The sequence below is a fragment of the Homo sapiens genome, chromosome 12 (genome assembly GCF_000001405.40).
Source record: "Homo sapiens chromosome 12, GRCh38.p14 Primary Assembly".
NCBI lineage: Eukaryota > Metazoa > Chordata > Mammalia > Primates > Hominidae > Homo > Homo sapiens.
The window spans coordinates 89,673,405-89,698,415 of NC_000012.12; the positions used below are offsets into that span (position 1 = coordinate 89,673,405).

Consider the following 25,011-nt stretch of genomic DNA (forward strand, 5'->3'; position numbering starts at 1 on the left):
CACTTCTGATTTCTGTTTCCCAATATCCAATAAGTAGCTAAGTTCCTTTTTCTTCCCAACTTATCACATTCATCTTTTCTTTCTATTCCCTCTAAACCACAAAATTTCAGATCTGGTCGTATATAACAGTTACAAATCCTGTCCATAAAACATTAGATACATTGCTATCAACACTGTGAGGGTGCCATGAGGACTAAAAGACAACAAATACGACATCTTGCATACTATCTCTTTCATAAGGACCCAACATTTCTACCTGATAGTTGCAAAATGTTCTTTACTATGCCAAATTTTAATTTGAAGTGTATGGATTTTCATCTCCAAGATAAGGGCAGCAGTGGTCTTATACATATCAGCTATGATTGAGGGCTGATGAGGTAATTAGGAAATGTTATGAATATGACATGAGTAAAACCAGTGGTACAGGGGGTGTCACAGCTAGCACTGGGTCATCATTCCCTCCAAAATATAATCAGGAGATAAACAACAAGTAACAGTTTACAGCTAGTTTCTTATTCGAGCATTTCAAGTTGGGTTTTTCTAGCTCTTTATACCTGTATACTGCATACCTCAATTAATTTATATGTTTCTGAAGAGGTGAAGACTGACTTTCATGTCGTTTAACCTCTTACTGACATGGGCAAGAAAAGACCAGGTATTCATATAGTATTTCCTCATTCAAGGCTTATCTGCATGGTAGGTGTTGGGGACACAGTGGTGAGCAAGACACAATAATTCCTGTCTCCATGGAACTTATATTCCTTTGAAGGAGGTATCAATCAATCAATCAATCAAACTACTAATTACACAATTTAATTACAATTGTGGTAAGTATATACTGGTTGATTCTTTTTTTAACCTTTTATTATTCATAGTTCAGTAAAAAAGGAAAAAAGTAGGCATGAAGTTCACACAGGGTTCAAAGCAGTGTCTGATTAGAGCCTTTTAGAATTGGCAAAAAAAAAAAAAAAGGAAAGGAAAGATAAGGATGGGTAAATGGGAAATGTCTGGTCACAAGGCAGTATTAGAAACAAATTCTTTGAACTTGTACCTATACTAGCAAACACATCTCAAAGTACTACCTCTGGCTTGCTGCCAAATCTAAATGAAAAACCACCCAATTTTGAATGCTTACTATATAGAGAGCACTATGCTGCCAGTTTTACATAAAGTGGATGATTATTAATGATGATGGTAACAATAGCTAACATTTCAACAGCGTTTTTGGTTTACTGTGCTCCTATGAGACTGGTATTAATCAGCTTTCCATTTTACAATAGAGGAAACTGAAGTGAGGCAGGTTAAGAAATTTGTCCAAGTTCACACAACTATTAAGGGGCAGAGCTGGGATTCACACCCAGTCAGTGTGGTTTGCTCCTCAGCACTCTGCCTTTGCATGTATGTTATGGAGGCATGGAACCACACCTCTCTGAGACAATCATCTATTTGGAAAAGCAATGCATAGAATTAAAAACAAAAAATAGACTACCAAGTAAATGTAAAATATTGTTCACATTACTGAAAACACTAGCCGTTACATAAAGTATACTTGCTTGAATCAGATATTTGAACACTTAAAATTGTCACATGCTAAGATTAGCCAAAATCTGAAAAGCTCTTACAGGTATTTCAGAAACTCGAGATATTATGTATTAAGAAGCTGTCACCAAAATTCTTGGGAATTTTAATCCAGAAGTGTCCTGTGTTTTAGGGATCAACAATTTTCATTATCATCAATATTTAATAAAGCCCATTATGTGAAAGGCATCATATTACACTAAGGAAACACAAAGACTGAAAAAGGGAAAAGATCCCGTCTAGCTTACAATCCAAGAATTGCTCATTAAAAATGAACTAGAAAACCTCCATTTGTTCTAGCAATAAGCTTATACTTTTCATACATAATGCGTAAATTTAACAGTATAGAGAGAATCATGTTATATAAATGTCAACTTACGTCTTTCAGAATCAAAATATTCAAGACAAGTTAATTAATCCATTCTGATGGATGACGACCTGTATTCTGAAAGCAGAATTACTGTAGTTCCTCAATCTTTAAAAATTATTATTTTGAATTTTGAGAATATGTCTTACTGCTATATTAGCAATGAGCCTAAGTATGCGGTCGAACACAAGTTAGGCACTTATATATTTGTTAAATGAATAAATGGCACTGCTAGAAAAACACAGAAATATAAAATCTGCACCCTCTCCATATATATTGCTGTCATATAACTTACAATTGAAGCAATGAAGTGCTTTTACTACATTCCAAAAAAAAGTGACCACCACAACTCAAGTTCAGGACCACCAAAATATTTCACATGACTGATAAAACAGGTAAGAGAGGAGTCTTTTCTGGATTGCCCCAGACACATTTATAATTCCAGTGATAGGTGTTCTGTTAACTTTCTGGGGAAAGATACTACTTTTACTGTAAAGTTTCCTGACGAGCCAGGAGTTATTTTTAGTATTATTATTTCAAAAACAAATAATAAAACATTCCCATAAAATAACATTACTTGAAGAATATTTAACAAATCAATTTAGACTGGAAGAATTTCTTTTTTAAACAACTTCAGAAATTTGTCATCAAATGTTTCCTCATTGGGGGAGGGGGTTAATTATGTCTGATATGTAAAACACAAAATCCAAGCTAGGAGTTTGGATGAGGTGGAGGTTAGGGAAAGAAGTGCAGTGATGGAGAACCTACCAATCTTAGAGAACCTCCCAATCTCCTCTCTCCCATTGTAGGTGCTCCTGAGAGGCTCTGGGAAGTACAGATTACAAGGTTAAAACCGAAGGTGTTCAATTTACCCTCAACAATAAATAGTTTCTGAATTTACCTTGGATGTACAAAATCATGTAAGGTATTGCAAAAGAAATTACAGACAAGGTTTACACAATTGATGGTTGCTAGAATTACTGGTGATGTATTTTGTCAGACTTTGTGCAGCATCAGATACAACTGCATATGCCTTAGAACACTCATCTTAAAGTCATAATTGTCTAGAAAAATAAATATTTTCTCCCTCTCTCGCTACACATATATATAATATGTATATTAGGTAGAGACAGGGTCTCACTACGTTGCCCAGGCTGATCTCCACCTCCTGGTAGCTGGGATTCCCAAGAAGCTTGGAATACAGGCATAAGCTACCACACCCAGCTATATTACAATTTTTAAATGAGAAGAAATATTTCTACTATTGATGTTTATGTAGGTAATATCTGCTTTAACAGGATAATAAAGTAGTATGCAAAGTTTGGGGAATGCAGTCTTCCCTAAGGGAAGACACTTTTACTTAACTGAGTATAAAAATTGCAAATAGATACAGCTTATTCATTTTATAGCTGTGCCAAACATACAAAACAAAACGTTCTGGCTCCACAGTCTTACAAGATACTTATCCTTCTAAATTCTCATTGTTAAAAGAATAATTCCCAAATTTATAAAGCAGACTTTTTAGTTATTATTATAGAACACAAAAAAAGTGAGCCTTTTCTACACGGTGGCAAATCAAATTCTTTCCTCAGAAGAAAACTCTGTAGGAACTTGTATGCATTATGGACCAAAAAATTCAGAAGTCACTCTCTCTCAAAAATAAACACCACCACCACCACCACCACCACCAAACAAAGAAACAAACAAAAACAATCACAGTGCTATCCTGAAAAGCATTTCGCAATTTTAAAGATTAACAACTACTCTGTATATGTGCAGGGATACACAAGGATCAGCAGACAGAAGCTTCCTTTGTCACTGCCAAATGATACTGAATACAGACCCTGTAGGATATTAAACACCTTGTATTTTACATGGATCTAGGGCCCAGCTTTTGAGATACTCCTAGGCAGAGCCCAGCTGTTTTGAGTGACTTATCCACAGGAGTTTAATTTCAATTGTATGCTGGGAAGCGGGAGGTAGTGATTATACCTTCTCCCAAATCTTTCTAGCACACTAATGAACATTTTAAGGAATAGTCTCCAACTGAGATTAATTTGTCCTTCAAATATTCTCCTCTTAATTCACTAATGGCAATATCTGATTCACCACACTTTAAATGGAAGAACACAAGACCAAGCTTATAATGAAACTTATGATTTACTCATTTTACAACTGAAAATGCCACAGAACAAATGTACCCTTCTCTGCATCCTCCTCTACTACCTTCAAAGGAAAACTGTACTGGAAGTAACATTATACTACTACTTACTTCCATAAAAATACATAAACTGGTTCCTTCAACTCTTTTCATTTGCTTATTTCTCCTGATACCAAACTTCATACCAATGTTCTTTTCTTCTTCTTAGACAGTATCATAAAATCGGGTGTGACTATTCAGAATTCCACCAGTAGTAGAATACCAATTAAATTATATGTTCATCCTTTTCACTCTTTAATCAAAAACCTAAAGGAAAGCATAAAAGACAAGTTTCAAATACCGTAACTAGATGTTCACAGAATGGGACAAAGAAAGGAACAAATGACATTTTACAAATACTAAATCCTGCCTTTGGATTTCAGGGGGTTGGGGGCATGCAGGAATTATATATATATATATATACACACACACACACACACACACACACACACACACACACACACACACATATACAGAATGGAGAAATCATTTAAAAAAAAAATCCAAGGGTTTCAGTTCACTACAAACTAACCTAACTGGCCCCTACTTAACAAAAGATTTTTACACACTGACTACACATCCATGAATAATGAAGATAAAATGACTGGTGACCAAAAAACTAAAGATGCGTAACATACTGCCTTTCTTTTCCCTAAAAAACCCCCAATAACCCATACTTCAAACCATAGTGATTCCATAATAGAAATCAATCCCCTCGTGGAATACAGAAGGATTAAATGATATTTTTTGAAGTGGCCATTTGGCCTCCGTTTCATGTTTTCTTCTTGTGGGTGTAGAGAGAACCTGTCAGTGAGTGACATTCAGAGGTGCTCAATGACTAATGAGCCTGCAAACTAAGCTTTATCTGTTCTCAACACTATGCTGTTATTCATCTTATTTACTCTTCTGAAATGATCTCTTTGGCTCCTTGAGTTTTATGACTATTTACTACTGCTGCTGGGGAAAATCAGAAGTAGTAAAGATGGTCACACACAGAGTAAGATTTCACACACTTTCTCCAATATATTTAGACAATGGGATACAGCTTCAAGACTAAGGATATGCCCTCTGGCCATGGCAAATAGGAAGCTATTTTGCATGTGTCTTACTAACAAAAATCAAGACTTGCCTTAAGAAGCAATTGAACCTGTATACTGCCAGAAAGGCTCAATTTCAGCCATGCAAAAGTCAAAATCGTTTTGACATAAATTTTTAAAATTTAAACAACTCTGGAGGGCCATTTGCAACTTATTCTCCAAGAACTTCTCATTCGCACATTTACATGCATACTAGCTGCTACTCATTGTGGTGGTCAATATGCTAGGCATCCACAGTGTTCGTAAAGTTAGGTGTTTTACAGGAATAATATAAAGTTCCTCTGTTGCTGAAGCATCTAAATGGTAACAACTACATTTACATTTCCCATTTCATATTGTTACTTCTATGTTTTCTAGTTTGTACCTCTTGGTTTATGCTCCAGAGTAGATCCAAAGCTACTTAAGGCATTAAAAAAAAAATCACTATTTTAGGCTCTCAGAAAAAGGTAAACATTACAATAACTTTTAAGCCAAGCTTTTGGAAAAAAAAGGACTTTTGAAGGTGGTCTAAGGCAGAGGTTGGCCAAAATCACCCACAGCCTGAGTTTGCACAGCCAAAGACTAAGAATTTTTATTTTATTATTTCACATCTTAAAGGCTTAAAAATGAAGAATACACAACAAAGATAGTCCTCAAAGCCTAAAATATTTAATATCTGACCCTTTACAAAAATATTGGCCTCTCCCTGGTCTAAGGCAACCAGTTGCTAAAATTAGCTCTATATCCACATAATGGAACTAGTCTTTTAAAAAATTCACTTCATACCGTTGGAATCAGTCTCCAGGACCAAGACTTAATCTTGATTTTAAAAAGCTCCTGTGGAACTTCTGAGCCAGAAGGATAATGGCAGTAGCCTGATCCCAATCTCTCTTTTCCCCCAAAAAGCACAATATCATAAGAAGTACAAATAAAACCATAGGTAGCCTCCAGTATTAACAGCAAGTGGAGTACCACAAACTTCAAATTACCTGTAAGTAGAGAAATAAATGCCAAAATCCAACAAAACTCCCTTGGCCAATGCAAATCTGAGGGTACATCGTAGGAGAGGGGAGGCTTAAGACTCTATGACAAAAGAGAAAAGGGGACCAAAGGACATAGAGGAAGTACAGACAAAATCACCCATAGAAAAGAAAGTCCAACACACACTGACAAAATACTAAATACTAGAATTTGATATTTCACAATATCAGCTATACAAGAGATTGAAAGGGAATAGCAGCGGAAATGGCAGGCACAATTAGGGCTTCTGGGGGAGAAGATAAACAGAGAAGGGAGGTGTCCCTTGGAGATATGGCAGTAAAGGAAAAGAAGAGAAAATTAAGGATCTTATAGAAACCAAAGAGAAAGACACATAAACTCCTGCCTCCTCTTCACTACCATCATTATCCATTAAAAAGATGTACTTCACTATTTTGACAATAAGCATTCTTAAACTAAGAACCTAGTTCACAAACTACCAAGGAATAAAAGAAAATAAAAATCAAGCCAACTCCATAGAAAAGGAACTGGAGGAAGAAAACAGAAAATGCAAATCACATTTCAGCTGATGAACATTCTCTCCACAAAACAATCACCCCCTGCCCCAAACACACTCCACAAAATGGAAGAAAACTGTAAAGCAATACTTCAAATTAAATTAAATACTCAAGCAAGTATTTGCAGATATTAACAACAGAAACAAAAATCACCTGGAACCAAAAATTCAAAAACTAAAAAGAGAGATGAACACAAATCCAGGAAGAAATACAATGACACCTGATCATTCTCAGGGAGGAAATTGAAAGAAAAAAGACAAAATTATTTTGGAAATTAAGAATTACAAAATGCTCATTGGAGAACGGATTTCGAGTAGAAAATCTAGCAAGGGTCACTGAAGAAATTAAGAAAAATAAGAGAATGAAAATTAGATTTTTTAAAAAAGGAGTAAGGGTCAAGAGGTAGTAGCTGAAACAGAAAATGTGCAAGAGATCCAACACTGTATAACTGGAGTCTTTTCAGAAACAACGGAACAGAACTAGTATTTAAAAACTATAATTCAAGAAATCTTTCCACATAGAAGAGGCAATCTAAACCAGCATAATGAAAGGGTCCACTGTATATCCGGAAAACTGGACCTAGAACAATCTACTTCAAGACATGTACTAAACTAGTTTAAAGATTAAAAAAAAATCCCCAGAGCATCCGAACAAAAAAACAAACATTACTTTAAAAAGTAAGAAAACTAGACTTCAAAAACATACAAAGAAAGATAACCACGGAACAGCATTTTCAAGAAACTTCAGAATGTGGGAGCTGAGCTTTCCTTCAAGCATTAAGTATACAAAAAGAGAAACAGTTTCGAATGTACAAGAACTCAGCAATACATTGGAGCATTCCTAAGGAATTTATTAGAGAGTGAAATTCATCCAACTAAGAGCTAATCTGGGAAGCTTTAGCAAAATGACTAATGGCAAGCATTTAATATAGTTAATCGTAGGACTAAAACTAAAGTGGAACACGGTAAAAAGAAAAGAATGCATATGTTATACACATGCTGATAACGTAGGAAAAATGCACAGATATACTGAATAAAAATGACAGAAGAGGAAATCCCCCAAAATAAGAGATTAAAGACTTCTATGAAAATAAATCTTAAAACCTAAATGAAATAATTTCTTAAGAAAATACAGCTTACCAAAACTGACCATAACAGAGACAGATGAAACAGAAAATGTTGCAAAGAAAAATCCCTATAAATTTTTTTTTTTTTTTTGAGACACAGTCTCACTCTGTCACCCAGGCTGGAGTGCAGTGGCGTGATCTTGGCTCACTGCAACCTCCGCCTCCCAGACTCAAGTGATTCTCGTGCCTCAGCCTCCTGAGTGGCTGGGATTACAGACGTGTACCACCACGCCCAGCTAATGCAAGTTTCTTATGAAGCAAATAAACACTGACATCTAAACCTAATAAAGAGAAAATTTAGACCAACATTACTTACAAAAATTGATGCTAATATTTTAGTTAGGATTTCTGCAAATAGTCTCCAAATGGCATGAAGAAAAAATATACCATGATCAAGTGGAATTTATACCAGGAATATATAGTCCAATATTAGAAAATCTGGTAAACAGAAATAAATGAGTACTTTACATTATAAATTATATCCACCTCAGTTCTAAAGTCAATTATCTTAATTAATGGGGAAAACTAGAGGCATTTAATATACAAGGCAAAGGATGCCTGCTAGTTCCACTACTATTTAACATCATTCTAAAGATACCAGTGAAGAATTAGACAAAAGAAAACAACTAGAAACATAAGAATTAGGAAGGAAAAATGATCTCTACAGATGACATAATAGTAGACCTTGAATATCACGGACTGAGAGCCAATGAAAATTAATTCAATGAAACAACTAAATATAAAAATCAAAACATACATAAAATAGCCTTTATATACACAACTAATAACCAATTACAAAATATAACAGAAAACTCCACCACGATAGCAACCAAAAAAGATTAAAGACACTTATGAATAAATATAACAAGAAATGTTCAAAATCTATATAAAGAAAACTGTAAAAACACCTGAAATATAACATGGTAGACTTAAACAAAGAGAGACATTCTTTGTCATGATTAGGACTTCTCTAAGTCAATTTGTAAATTTAATGCAAGCCTAATAAAAACAACAAGCTTTTTTCCTGAAACTAAACAAGCTGGTGTTTAGTTTAGTTTTCGTTTAGGGGAAACGAAACATGCAAAAATAGCCAAGAAACCACAGCGAAGAATAAAGATGATGGAAATATTAGCTCTACCAGATACTAAAATACACTGTAAAGTCCCTATGAATAAAACAGTATGGCAATGATAGATAAAAAGACCAATGGACTGAAATAGAAAGTCCAGAAACAGATCTAACTACATACAGAAATAAATATATGACAATGGTAGTAGCTTAAATCATTTGTGAGGGAGAGGAAGCAAAAATGGACTTTTCCATAAACTGTGTTGGGACTACTGAACAGTCATTCAAAGATGAAATTAGATCAATTTCTTATACCACATCAGAATAAATTCCAAATGGAACAAAGCAATGAAACTACACAAGAATTAGAAGAAAACATAGGTGAACCACTCTGTAATCGGAGTACAGGGTAAGGTTTAACTGTGACTTAAAAATCAGAGGTATTACATAAGCGTGATAAATTTGACCACAAAATTAAACTTCTGCATGGCAAAACACAACATAAGCAAAGATGAGACAGAAGTAACAAATTTGGAGAAAATATTACCAATATCACAGAAAAAGGGCTACTTTCCCTAATACATAAAATAAATGTTTTAAGTTGAGGGAAAAAAGAATCAAATCTCCTAAAGAAGAATGATTGAAAGCCATAGACAATTCACCAAAATATAAAAATAGCCCTTAAAAAATAAGATGTTCAACTTCACTCAAAAGAGAAATGCAAATTAAAACTATGCTGAAAATATCATCTCTCATCATTCACATTAATGAAAGTTCAAAAGCCAGAAAATACTGTTTGGCAAGGTTTGGGGGAAACAATCAATTCACCAGCAATGTATGTAAAATGTCATATGGCAATTTTAAAACTTAGTCACAATTTTTCTTTTACACAGCCATGTGGAGAGGTTGTAGTCTATGTCCCTACACTTGAATCTGGGCAGACTTAGTACTGCTTTGGCCAAAAGAATATCACAGAAGCAACATTATGGGACTTGAAGCCAGGTCAGCTTCTGTCTGACTGTCTTGGAATGCCCACTCTTCGGATATGCCCTATCAGAAATCAGGCTCCCAATTCCGTAAAGAAGCGTAAGCTACAAAGAGAGGCCATGTGTACATGTCTGGTTGACAGTCTAAACTGAGCCCAATATCAGCAGTCATCCCAGCCTAGGCACCAGATATGAATGAAGAAATCAACATGTAATTCTAGCCCGTAACTATTCTATCCAGCCCCCGGTCATTTGAGATTTTCCCATGAAAGTTCCAGACAGTGTAGAGGAGAGAACAAGTCACCCCGATGTCCCCAACCCAAATTTCTGACTGAGGATCCAGGAGCATAATAAAACAACTGTTTTACACAATTAAGTTTGGGGTGGTCTGTTATGCAGTAACGGATTGCTAGAGAAGGGAATCTGACAATAACTAATAAAACTATATATTAATTTACCCTTCATTCCAGCAATCTCAATTCCAGGAATCCACTTCGAAGATAAACCTTAGCACTATGAAAATACAAATGAACCAAGTTTTTCATTGCAGCATTATTAATAAATTCAAAATGCTGGAAACTACTTGAATATCCTAACGTTTGGAATATGCAGAATGGCCAAATACCATACAGCTGTAAAAAAGAATGAGGACAATGTCTACAAGTCAATATGGTGGAATTTCCAAGATATATCCATTAGGGGGGAAAAAAAGCAAAGTACAAAACACATGCTACTTTCTGTGTAAGAAAGAAGAAATAAGAAAACATACATGTCTATTTTTGGAAAAGAAACACAGAAATAATAAATCAAAAAACATGAAAATTGGTTACTTACAAAAAGAGCAGGGACGGGAAAGTAGAAAAGGAAAGGACTGACTGTACATTTTTTGTGTTGGCAGTTCTGAACTTTTATAAGCACATTAATGTTCTACATATTCAAAATGTAAAATTGAAACAAACTGGGTTGGGGCAGAGGGCCAAGAATTAAATGTGCTAACGCTGGGAGCTACCATTCTCGCTATGGAAGAATAAAGACAAAAATGGGATGAGGGGAAGGCAAGGAAGAACCCTGTAAACTGGACTGGAAGTGGAGCTATCAGTATGAACTCATGTTTCATATATATTTATACACAGCTATACACACATATACAGACAACATACACATGCCTATCCACTTCTTAAAACACAAGAACCTCTGAAGGATTAGGGAAATAGTGGTCATTCAGACTACATAACAAATTAGGACTGTTTCAGCACTCAGCTAAAATCAGCCACACCAAGAAAAGAGTAATTTTTAAATGAAAAAAAGTGAGTTATTTTAGAGCAGGTAATGCAGAGCTTTATGTTTACTGTCTAAAACTTAATCTTTTCCTTTTGGACCATTTGAGATTGGACAGCGGAGAGAAACTTGGCTTCTCTCCCTCTTGCCTATTAACCCATATTAATCTAAACAGGACCCCCATGTCTCATTTTACTAATATGAGCGATTTCATTTCCTTTTAGAATTTCCTTGACCATTGTTTACAGTTGTATTTCTACAGAAAAATTCATTTCAATTTCTAAACCAATGAAAGAGAACTTTTGGAGCACAATCCAATTTTAGTAATTGCCTATACTTTAAACTCAAAAAGTTTGTTGAAATTAAGTAAACTCTAAATTCCAAGCTTCAGGCACCAGTCTACCTAATTTGTATTTCTCAATGTAGCCTCCGCCATTGCCGTATTTTATTGTGACAGTCATTCATAGATGCAATTTAGCAGGATGATCAAGGGAGTGCCTTACCAAGAGTGGGACATTTGACCAAAAATCTAAATGAGGTGATAAGTAGTCTGGGACTTAAGTTCCTTATAATAAAGCCTAGAGTCATTTTTCCTCTTGTAACAGACAACAGAAGTGCTTGCTTTTAACCTCCAATCAAAGGATCTCTTCAACTCACTGAATTGGGAAACGTAACTATGGGTAAACGAAATCAATGTTTCACCAACATGTCCACTGTGTCTTCTATTTCCCACTGCAATCCCTCTGGTCACTATCCTCCCTCCCCCATCCTCAGGACAGTTTCCCTTATTTCAGGGGCTTTCTTCAACAACTTCTTTCAATCCAAACAGTAAATATGAAATCAGTGACTCTCAAAGTATGGTCCCCAGACTAGCAGTATCAGCATCACCATGGAGCTTGGCAGAAATGCAAATTCTCAGACCCACTCCAGACCTCTTAAGTCAGAAACTCTGGGGGTGTGGCCTCACCAAGCCTTCCAAGTGATTCTGGTGCATGCTAAAGTTTGAGAACCATGTTTTAGTTGACTAAAATTACATTTTAGTGTGAATTTCTTTGCTTTCTCTATTATGGACTGGATTGTGTCCCCCTAAAATTCCTATGTTAAAGCCTTAAATTCCAATGTGACCATATTTGGCAATAAGGTCTTAAGAGGTAATTAAGCATTAAAACAGGTCTTATGGGTGGGACCCTAATCCAATAGAACTGGTGTCCTTAAGAAGAGATACCAGCAAAAAGGCCATATGAGGACACAGCAAGAAGAAGGCCATCAGCAAGCCAAGGAGAGAGGCCTCAGGAGAAAACTTACCTTGCTGACACCTTGATCTTGGAATTCCAAACTCCAGAACTATGAGAAAATAAATTTCTGTTGTTTAAGCCACCTTGTCTGTAGCATTCTGTTATGGAGCCCTAGCAGACTAACAGATCCACTTTTGCTTCGGACATTATTTAATTTTAATATACTTTTTATCTCCAGGTATGGAATGAAAACACTACCATTTTTAAAGAAAGAAAATTTTCTAAAATTTCCTTCAGCATGTGTTCTTCAAGGCAATCTTTCACCATTTTTAGATGATGGATTATTTTATACCCTAATCCCTTGAGAAGATAAACCAAAAGTATATCCAGCTTAAGCTGTTAGAAATGTATTTCCAAGTACTAAATAATGCAGTTCCAATATCTACAATCCATTGTAATTTGATTTACTCTTTACCCTAAGCAAAGACCAGACCCCCTTCTCAAATTCCTTTCCTCTCTTCTCCCCTACTACAAGAATGCCAGATACTGATATGCTTTTGCGTACACTCACTTTTATTTTACTTTGTAGTTAGAATTTTTAAAACCATAACTGTATTTTGCCTTTTATCCAATGTTACGCAACATTATCATTAAACCTTCCAAAAAATTTCCCAAGGAAATTTTAGCAAAATTTGTTTTACAGTGAGTATACTCTTAAGAAATACTACTGTAATAAATGAATGTTATGGCCAACTAATCATACTGATAAACAACCTAACTGGTCTAAGAGCACTCTCTGGACAAAGGCCATTTCCATGTTTCACTATGCCTACATCGGTGCATGGCATATTTATGTTCATTCTCAACCTGAAATTACATGATTCATGTATATGGTGTATAAACATGCACAGATGCACATAAATTTATATTAAAGTGACAATAAGTGTTATTACAGTGGCCACATACACATTAAGAGAAAACTGAGTATTAGTCCAGATAAAAATATATAGATCCTGTCTCTACCATATATCTATAATTCCTTTAATATAATACTCCTCCTGGGGTTACTAATACAGTTGACCCTCTCTATCTGTGGGTTCTGTATCCAACCAACCACGAATAGAAAATATTCGGGGGGAAAAAAAAGGATGTGTCTGAGCATTTACAGACATGTTTTTCTTGTCGTTATTCCCTGAACAATACAGCATAACAACTATTTACATAGCATTTAATTATGTTAGGTATTATAAGCAATCTAGAGATGATTAAAGTACAGCCATGCACTGCATAACGTTTCGGTCAACAAGGACAAACCACAGATTTGATAATGGTCCCATAAGATTATAATACCAATTTTTACTGTAACGCTTTTATGTTTAGATACACAAACATTTACTGTCGTGTTACACTGCCTACAATATTTAGTACAGTAACATGCTATATGGGTTTGCAGCCTAGAAGCAATAGGCTATGCCACATAGCTTAGGGGCTGCAGTAGGCTATACCATCTAGGTTTGTGTAGTACACTGTGTGAATTTGCACAATAACGAAATTGCAACGCATTTCTGTATATGGGAGGATGTGTGTAGGTTACATGCAAACATATTTTACATGAGGTACTTGAACATCTGTGGGTTTTGCTATCTAGGTGGGTGGAGGTGGGGTGGTCCTGGAATTAATCCCCCATGGAAACTGAGGGACAACTGTACTTTCAAATTATTAGGCAGTAAGGCCAAGAAAGTGGTCAAATCACCTAGTGTCTTTCTCACTACAAGAAACATTAAGTTTTATTCCATACACTCTATTTACTAAGAGAGAAAGATACTAATATTTTGGGATTAAATTCAACATGGGATTAAAATAAATGCTGCTTAAACAGCAATGTTAGTATTTTACAACTTACAATAATATTTACTTTTTAAACGTTTAAATCAAACAAAATATATTTCATATATTTATTCAGGAACCATTAAAACATATCCAAGAATTCACTGGACTGTGAATTAGGAGGCAAAACTCATACAGTATGTGCAATATCACCTTTTCCATCAATTTAGTTATATGTAGAATGCTAAATCAGATAGTTATTTAAAAACAAAAACAAAAGTAAACTAAAACCAAGAACATGTAAGAACACTCTCCTCCAGGTGAGGAGAAGAAAATCAAGACCACAGTGCTGACAAATCCAGAGCTCCTATGTAAGCACCCAAAGGCACTCACTTTCTTATAAATTAGACATCATTCCACACCAAGGCTCTCAGCAGGCAGGAATCTAACCCAAGGAGAAGATACAGCCTTCAGCCAAGGTCAGATTTTTGTTCACTGTGCCAGGTGATGAATTTACAGCACTTCATTTCATGTAACTGTTGAGGTCTCATCAATGTTACTCTTCATTACTGAGGATAACTGAGTGAACTATAAATAAAGCAGCAGTTCAAACTATTAACTGCACAAATGTTTTAGGTTATAAAATATCTGGAGACTCACATAAATTTTTTCACAACTATTATAAACTGCTGAATAGGGGAGTGAGCTCCAGGGATCAGGAGTCAGACTTCTAGCTCTGGACTGTACATTTTAATGAAACTATTTTATCCTAAGTCTTGCTCATTTAGCACTATGATAAATGGACAGACAATAAATTTCATTTTATATAGGACAGAGACTACCTGCTTTGGCCAATATTATCCCCAAAATCTAGCCTAGTATCTGAAACTATAGGTGGCACTACATACAGCTGGCACTCAAATTCTTTGTTGAATGAATACTCCTTTTGTCACGGTTTAGGAAAGCTAAACATTGAACAGTGGAACAGGCACTAAGGTGGGAGTCAGATCTGGGCTTTGATCCTTACTGCAGGGTCTTGGGGTAGGTTGCTGTGTACCTGGGACTCAGTCTTCTCATCTGTTAAAGAAAGGGCTGGACCAGGTTTTCAAAGCACTTTTCTAGCTCTAAAATTCTTTGTCTATCCCCCAAATCTTCCTTATGTCTCCCAGTCCAAGTATAAAATATTGGTTTTGCCATCCGTAAGCTTAGGGCTAATCGTATCTTTTGCTTATAGGTTCCTTTACCAAAAAATACACAGGAAGAAGCCTCAACCTTAGTTGTTATTTAGATTCATTATCAAATTCTCTTTGATAGTTCAGAACCTTAGTTCACCACATTCACTGACTTCAGTGAATCTAAAAACCACCTATTCTGATTGGCAATAAACAGATGCTCTTTAGACGTTGTTTTCAATGCTAGCACTCTTTTTACAACTTACATACAGTCTGTATTTCAGCTTCTCTTGTCAGGTCCTAACAGGGCTACAAAATAAAATACAAGCTACCCAGTTAAATTTAAATTTCAGATAATCAACAAATAATTTTTTAATCCCATGTATGTCCTATACAATACTTAGGACACTCATACTAAAAAAAATTATTCACTGGCAATCTGGTCCTGATTTCCTAGTGTCATAAATTAACAGTTTCCAAAGAAATGTAATTTTACAATGCAGGTAAACACGAAATAAAATTTAAACTTTCTTTGATTCAGAAGGAAATTGGGTCTTCCAGCAGCTGAGTATAAACTCACTCTGTCTCCCAACCTACCACACTCACAAAACATTGGAAATGAACTGTAAAATGGCGTTTCCATCTGGCCTGCCTTTCTGGCCCCAGACAAATGCACTAACAACCATCATGCCTCTGAGAGGGAATTTAAAAACACTAAATTCCCAATTTGCAGCTCTGGGGCTGCCTTATTCCACATCTGGCCCATATTTAATACGGCTTCTTACTCCTTATCTATTTGTTAACTTGCTATATATTTGTAGACTTCCATTTGTCTATTTTAAACATACATATTAGAAACTAGTAAGGGAGATACCTTTTGTATCCTCACCTTCATCTCCTATCCTTCCTCATACACATAGTACACACAAAGTCATGTATACAGAAGTTTAGCAAATATTTTCTGAATATCAAAAGTTTAGCAAATGTTTTCTAAATATTAAATGTCATTGTAGGATACTGTAAATACAGAAATTGTAATGGTCTGAATTGAATTCCTACTAATCCTAACACAAACCTAGAATTCAACTTTTGAATAAATTCCTATCAATTGCTTTACTTTTCTATAGTTTAGGCATAAAATGTGCAGAAACCCCAGTTATGAACTTTCTGTATGCTAGGATTCTTTGTGGTAAGCTTTTACTGAATAGCTAAGATACTCTAAACTCTGTCCTATATGCTGCTTACTATGTGGTATGACTATAAAGCAATAACAGATATTTCAAAATAAATACCAGAACATATATAGCCTAATAAATGTTTATTTTTCTACCAAGAATTAACTTAAATCATTCTAATAATGCTGCCATTGCTTAAAACATTTGCTCTCCTTTTTTGAAATTTCCTTTATACTCTGGGATACTTTTTAAAGAAAATATCCTCAATGATGGCAAATCTTTTTTTTTTTTGGAAGATTTATCATTAAGAGTAATTCTGTATAAAAGTCTTATTAATAAAGTGGGTAGCTCACACATTTTAAGTATAGGGACATCGGTAAAAATTATATCACAAATACTGTTGTTTATCAGAGGCAAGGCAATAAAGTGTCTTGTAATACAGGATCCCCTGAATCAACTCAGAATGTCAACAACTTAAGTCCAAAGAACTTGCTCATTCTTGTGAGTTGAATTAAACAGTTTTGCTTTTTTTAAAAAAAAAAAACTAATAAACACGTATTTTACCATTTATTACTTACCACTTACTAATTTTGACATGAATGCTTTCTAAGATCTTGATTATTGTGCTTTTCTACTACAGACCTTAACTATTTTCCCCTGCTATCACTGGAAATACCACATTTAATCAAGAATTACTATTTTCTCCTAAAACTTCTGGTAGTATAAATTCTCCCTTTAAAATCAGGATAATATCAAATCTTCACTGCTTGTCACTTTAAGTGAGTGGCACAATATTCCCACAACCTAAGGAGAACTGGATTTAAATCTGGCTTTTTTGCAGTCAATATTTAGAATCAATAAGAATAAACCAAATCCCTAGCCTCTTGTACATTTTCCATCAATCTTTGGGTAAATTAGGCAAGCACTTTAAGAATCATCCAAGAACATTTTAATTCCAAAAAGGAAAAACGATCTAGTTTTTGACATTATTTCAAACTTCTAGTAACATGTGAGAGGCTCAACTGTGTACAGCAGAAAGAGCAGTGGACTAGAGTTAGACAGCTGGGCCCACATGCCTTTCTGCCATTCAGCATTTGGGCATGTAAACTGATTCATTTCTCTGTCTACAGGGAAAAAAAAATCATCATCCTATTTAGAGGGCTATTATATGGATTAAATGATACCAACTGTTACATGCAACATGCTTCTGATACAATCAGTCCTCTTCTAACTAAAAAAGAAAATCAGATTCTTTATCCTTATGACCTCAAATATTAAAGTCTATAAGCCAACTCCATTTTCTTTAAGGAAAGCAATGGTTTGAAGTCTGTGACTGTTATTAGTATGATACTCAAACTCTTCTCCATGTCAAAAACACTTATTTATTCACCAGAATTGGGTTATAAGATATTTGCCATAAGCTAAAACTTGTCATTATAAAGACAAACCTTTATTAAATACTTTACACAAAAATCTTCTGTCAATGTACCACATAATTTATCCTAGATAATTTGTAAAAGTCAAACATAATTAACCAGAAAGTGATCACTCAGGATTATTACTCAGTTTGTTAAGACTTATAATACATGTCACATACTATGCTAGGTCCCAACAAAGAACTGAGTCTATCTAGGGAGACAGATTTGCAAACAGATAAACTTAAGAGCCATATTTCCGACTCAAATAATCATTCTTTCCACTTCCCAGCATTCTTAGCCCACAAAACAGGAAAGTCCACCCCTTTTTCCATGTTGAGTCTATGGGAATTTGAATCCCTAATTTTTGTTTAAAATATCTTTCAGAAGCCTATAATTAAGAAGTAACACTGAAACCAAAAGCTAGCTTAGACACAGATTGCCTGTCACAAGTCAGGCAAAGCAATTAAAGAATTTGCCAACTCAGAAAATCACAGAATTTTCAAACTAAGAAAGGATGGTGTTTCCTTTTCATGCATTAGTACTCAGGGTCACTATTACATTAAGGACAAAAATAAAAATTAAAAACACAAAGACAATTAAAAAGCTGGGATTAACCAGTAGGAAATTCTAATGAAACCTATACACTTTAAGTTTCAAAGTTACAGGTCAATGACAAAGCTGCTAAAGAGGTTAAGATCATAGAACATAGGTTAAAAAAAAAAGCAACATGCTACCATGATGTTATTCTTAATCAATGGCCAAAATGATTTAGTTGACTTAAAACTCAGGCTAAGACTCAAATTTTTCTATATTGAAGAAAGTGAACTATGCCTAGACGACAGCAGATCCTTGAATAATATTTCATTTAACATGGTTTCATTACGACATTGATGAGAAAAAACAAAATCAATTCCAGGCTGGGACGACTGTGTGGAATCTTCACTTTCTCCCTATATCTGCATGGGTTTTCTCCAGGTATTCTGGTTTTCTCCCACATACTAAAGATGTGCTTCAGGGAGAGGCTCTGGCCACTCATGACCCTGAACTGGAATCAGCAGATCAGAGAAATGAATTAATAATTACAAATTATTGTCAAATAAAAATTACTAAAGTATACAATAATCATACAAATGCTCTATAAGAAATGATGTGGTATGAGAGCAATCTGCAAGCTTGCTGTTTTTATGATTGTTTTTGAACTTCGTGTGGTAGGAGGTGCTCCTTACAATTTTCACTTAGCAAACATTTATTCTTTGATTTAACCTACTACCTACCATGACCACTGTCACTCACTGATTCACCAAAAATTGGGTTGTCTTATTAATCTTTCTTAAATGTATGTATGGAATTACTTATTTCAATGTTTAATATCAGATATTTGGTAATGTTTTTGTGACCAGAAATATGCCATAAGAACTTAACTCTTGTTTATATCGACTAGTCTATGGTAAAATTGGTTTCGTTACACATCATTTCACTTAATGTTGCAGTGTCCAAGAACCTATTGGCCACACTGAGGATGTACTGTATGCTTCTGTCAGTAAAGTATTTCTGAATGTATACTTAATTTTTCATTTTACTCCCTACAACTAGTATTAAGCCAATAATTTATTTTCTAACTGTTATTTCAGAATTAAGTAAATACTGAATATGAAGTGATGGCAACACAGACAAGGAAATGACTGTGCCTAGGGAAGCTGCAGCAATGCCTTATCAAAGAACTGACTTTTAAAGTGAGTCTTGAATGAAGAGTCCTATTTTGTAATATTTAGGCAAGGGGAGTATGATTTACAAAGGCATAAACAATGAAAAGGTTGGGCATGTCTTTAACACAGGAAGAACTCCTGCTATGATACGAAGTAACCATTGTGACAGGAGGAATGGAGCAGTATAGAAGGCTCAGAGTTTAACTGGACACATTCATTTATTAAGTACTAACTTAATGAATAATCTAAATGATAAGCACCTAACTTTCTGGACAGGACAGAAGAACTTCATGAAGGAGCTTCATAATGAGTCCTAAAAAAATGACTAGTTTGGATGAGGACATTCCAGATAGGAAGAGCAGCACACAGCCGTTGCTTTTTAACCAAATTGTCCATGCCTATTAAGTTTTGTGAATTCTTATTTTTTACTTTAAAAACCTTCCTTTTCCATCACTAAAATGTAAATTTTCAATTAGTTCCTATGATACTTGTGCTTGATTCTAAACAGTCTTTCTAGTTTCTGAAATTTGCTCTCTTTCATCTGCAGTGTGCTGGCAAACCAGTTATCAAAATGTATTTAAAATATGAATAAATACAGCAAGTAAACACCTAAAGTGGAGTAAGGTGCTGAGAGTCTTGATTCATGAACTTCTGGCGGCTTAGAGGGCTTTTCTGCCAATTTCCTGGTTCTCTACTTTGTTTTACATGGTTCAGGAAACTGGATAAATAATAGCCTTAGGCTGGGAGAAAAATTATCCTACACCTCTCTCCATTCTTCTTCTATTTCTGCTTTCTCTTTGATTCCTCCCCATTCCAGTAGCATTCCAGATAGCGATTAGTCCACTAAGTTACATTCCAGGACAAGAAGACTGGTTTCCACTGACCTCAAAATTAGAGGAATGTCATGGTACAATTAATTTGATACATTTCGTCCTTTTATACCCATAACTATTCTAAGTAATTATTACTTGAGTAGCCAAAAGAAACACTTGCACTGAATGTTCAAATACATATATATAGAGAAAGATGTGTATCTACTAACTAGATATAAAAAAGTTATATTCAACTACATAATCTGTCCTATTCTCTCTCCCTCTCATATCCCACTTACAGCTGTCACCTTAATTTTAAAAAATCCCCAATGCCACTATAATCTATGACTTTTAATGACAACCTCAAACTCCTTCTGTGCATGTGCAGATCTAGATTAAACTATAATCTCTCAACATCCCCCAAACCACTCAAAGTTTCCTCCTTTCAACTCCTTAGGGTATCTGCTTATGGGGGGGTTACCTGGTATCAAATACATTGAAGGGGCATGGCCAAAGAATCTGCTCAAAAGAGCTTTCCCTCCACTCGGAAATAAGGCCTTCAACCAATACAGTTCCCACTTGTGGAAACATTTAATTTAAATCTAGGGCCACAGGTATACTTCAGGAAGGGAGACAGGAGGAGCAAGTCCAACATTATGAAAAACTGATAGCCTGGCTTGCTACCTAGGCTGTGTGCAGAAGTACAAACAGAGCTCAGCACAACTTAGAAAACCCTCCAAATGTAATTGTGACAGAAGGCCAGAGATCACCATCAAGAATTCTAAGAACTGGCCAGGCGCAGTGGCTCACGCCTGTAATCCCAGCACTTTGTGAGGCCGAGGAAGGGGAATTGCTTGAGCCCAGGAGTTTGAGACCAGCCTGGGCAACATGGCGAAACCCTATCTCTACAAAAAGTACAAAAATTAGCCGAGCATGGTGGCACATGCCTATAGTCCCAGCTACCCGGGAGGCTAAGGTGGGAGGATCACCTAAGCCCAGAGAGATCGAGTCTGCAGTGAGCCATGATCGTGCCATTGCACTCCAGCCTGGGCGACAAGAGCAAGATGCTGTTTCAAAAAAAAAAAAAGAAAAGAATTATAAGAATAGGATACAATGGTAGCAAAACTACTGAAGTCTGAAGGTTTGACAGCAGATTCTAGAACGCTTTTCTTCTTTACTTGTATAAGAATAGCTGGAAACAATATACCCCTATTCATTATAGAAGAGATCACAGACCAGGAATGGGACATGTGCACACACTTACACTGGTTCTGGAAGCATACAGCACCTGATGAATCACTGCACAAAAAAGGAAACCAAGAAGGAACACCAGACACACTGAGCAAGGCTGACTTAAAGCTCTACATAACAGTCTCTCCTCTCAGCAGGTCACAGTTGTTACGGTCTACCCTAGCAATCATATAAATATTTTTTAAAAGAAAATATTTATCTCAAATCTGAAATTTTCTACTTGAAATGAGAATTAAAAAAAAGAAAAAAATTCATATATGATGTCACAGAAAGAGCCTGCCAAGACACCTTTAAATTTCCCTAGTTTTACCTCGTTTACAATACTGAAACTTAACTTTTTTGGACTAACTCTTTAGCTGTAGTTGTATTTAAGTTTAGATGTCAAACTTCTGAAGTTTTCTCCTCTATTAAAAAAAAAGATAGATACATTAATCTATTAAGCAACATTTTACAAAAACATCTACTCACTGGCATTTTTAAATAGTAATACCCATTTCCATTGGCTGCTTCTTAGTATTCTATTCTATTTAGTAAAGTCTATCCTGCTCTTTAGAAGCAGGGATAGTAAAATTCTTGTTTCACAAAAAATTAAATTTATATAACATAGTTATAAGAAAATATTTCCAATCTTTGTGTCATTTACCTGACATATCATTCAGCTCAAATTTAAAAGAAACAGTATCTGTGATAAATTCTCACCCCAAGCACACTACAGTTTCTATAAGATGCAGAAGTCCAGTGTCAGTGGATTCAAGCTCAAGACCAGACACAAGAGGCTCATTCAAGAATCATTAACAACCTCACAGGTATAAACAGGGCATTGTGCCAAGGGTGAGTGACAGAAAGATGCACAGTTCCTGCTCCCAAACTGAACATGTCACGGAAGTGTCAAACATGTGAACAACAAAATATGAATTCTTAAAAGTGCTATGGAAATTTGGAAAAGTAAAGCAGAGACCTGGAAATGAGTGGGACATACTATAGACACAGCAAGAAAAGACAGACTCCCCAAAATCTGACCAGCCTCAGAGAAAGGAGACTGGAAGAAAATTTTAGTCATAAGACCACAAACTACCAAAATCCTTTAAATACAGTAAATACAGAGAAACAATCATAAATGAAGACAAACATATGCAAATAAAGATGCTCACTGGAAGATTATTTAACAGAAAAGAATTAAAATCAAAACATCCAATAACAAGGGACTAGCCATAGGATACAACATTATTAAAATGTTGTTAATGAAAAAATTTAATGACATGAGAAAATAATACAAAGTTTCTAAAAAGCACATAATTATACCTACATTATCTGAAGGATGTTAATAGGTAAGTTTTTCAAAAGATAAAAACCATTAAAGTGTTAAAACTAGCTATTTCTCAGACGGAGGATTATGAGTGATTTGTTTCACTTTACATTGTCCTATTTTCCAAACATTATATAGTGTTACATTTCTAACTGGTAAAAAGGTTATGTAAGTCACTGTATTTTAGGGTATTCATAGCCCTTTAAAACTATTCATAGCCCTTTTCATCTCTTTCTATAGAGAATATCTCATCCATATATTACACAGAACCCACTCATTTAAATGGGTTAATATGTGTAAATTGCTTTGAACAGTACCAGCAGGTAGAAGGCAGCTACACAGGTGTTCATTTTATTCAATAATCATACATTCCCTTTAGTCAAAGTAACTAGTGTGTTTTGGAGCTAGTCTGTTTTTCATGGCATGTTAACAAAAGAACATTAGTTTTGTTTTTTTTTTCACCCTCTAAATTCTAACATCTCTTAAGAAATGACTGCTGTTTTCCCGAGATTCTACTTCCTTCAAAAAAAAAAAAAAAAAAAGCAAGAAGTAATTCAAATATCAAGTTCCTTAATAGGAAGACAGAAATTTAATGAGTGGAATGGAATTTGGCCTTATCCAGATGAAGAAACAGAAATCATACACCAGACTCTTATCAGGCAGTGGGCTATATGTAATTATTTGGAAAAAATGTCTTTATATGTCTTTATGAGCTTGGGGTATGGCGGGTCAGAATCTCAGGGGAAGACTCAAGAAACCAAATAAGGCAATCAATTGTTCTATATAATAAAGAAATGAGGAATCTGGATTTGCAAAGTAGAGGATGACTGGAGGGAGAAATTAAGGAAGGGGACTCTTGAGTTATCCATAGACTGTCTTCACTAAAGAAATGTTCCTTCATGTCCACATTGCTCACTTCTGCTTTTGTAAAAATGGATTATTTTACCCAAAGTAAAATTGAGTTGTGTATCTAAATTGCACAAGACTGTACAAAGACACAGGAGATGAATGACAGATGACATATCTGGGTTATCCACACATTTAAACTTATTTCATACATGTATTCATTTTCAGTTTTGACAAACTTATACATGCATAAAGTCTGTTTAGGAAAACAAATCCAAAAGGCTTTTTTTTTTTTTTTTTTTTAAATATTAGCAGTCCTCTTAGTTCCTCCCCACCCCCACCGTTTTTTCAAATATCAGCAGTCCTCTTAGTCCCCCATCCCATTTTCTACTCTGAAGCAACTAGGAAAAGTACCCTCAAATCCTTCATCTCCACAAATAATGCTTACAAAGCTACCGCTTGCTTTTTCAGTTACAGGCTTCATATATATCTTTCCCCCACCTGCCGAGATGGAGTCTCGCTCTGTTGTCCAGGCTGGAGTGCAGTGGCACGATCTCAGCTCACTACCTCCGCCTCCTGGGCTCAAACAATTCTCCTGCCTCAGCCTCTAGTAGTGGGGATTACAGGCCCATGCCACTACGCCCGGCTAATTTTTGTATTTTTAGTAAAGACGGGGTTTCACCATTTTGGCCAGGCTGGTCTCGAACTCCTGACCTCAAGTGATCCACTCATATCTTTTATCACCATTCTTCTTCCCATCCCCAGCACAAACACAAATGCTTCCTAAAGTACTTTTATCAAGAACATATAAAGAAATTACAACTCGATAATAGGAAGAGACTGTATGTTACTGGAACCAAAATGTCCATCAACAGGCGAACGGACAAATTGTGGTGTATCTATACAGTGAATCCTCATCAGCAATAACAAGAACTACTAATATACACAACATGGATGAAACTCAATTATGGTGAGTGAATGTCAGACCAAAAAAGAACACATACTGTATGATTCCATGTACATAAAAT

The 25,011-nt window shown here is 35.3% G+C and overlaps 1 protein-coding gene across 40 annotated transcripts in view; it reads right to left on the reverse strand.

Annotated features, from left to right (window-relative positions):
• ATP2B1 (ATPase plasma membrane Ca2+ transporting 1) overlaps nt 1-25,011 on the reverse strand; it is a 121,318-nt gene that overhangs the window by 85,356 nt on the left and 10,951 nt on the right. For 4 of the 40 annotated variants that reach the window (NM_001366520.1, NM_001413059.1, NM_001413046.1 and 1 more), the window contains exon 2: nt 4,218-4,412. The exons of the other annotated variants lie outside the window; for them this stretch is intronic. The gene's annotated coding sequence lies outside the window, so the exon portion shown is untranslated. The remainder of the gene's footprint in view (nt 1-4,217; nt 4,413-25,011) is intronic. 40 annotated transcript variants of the gene reach the window in all.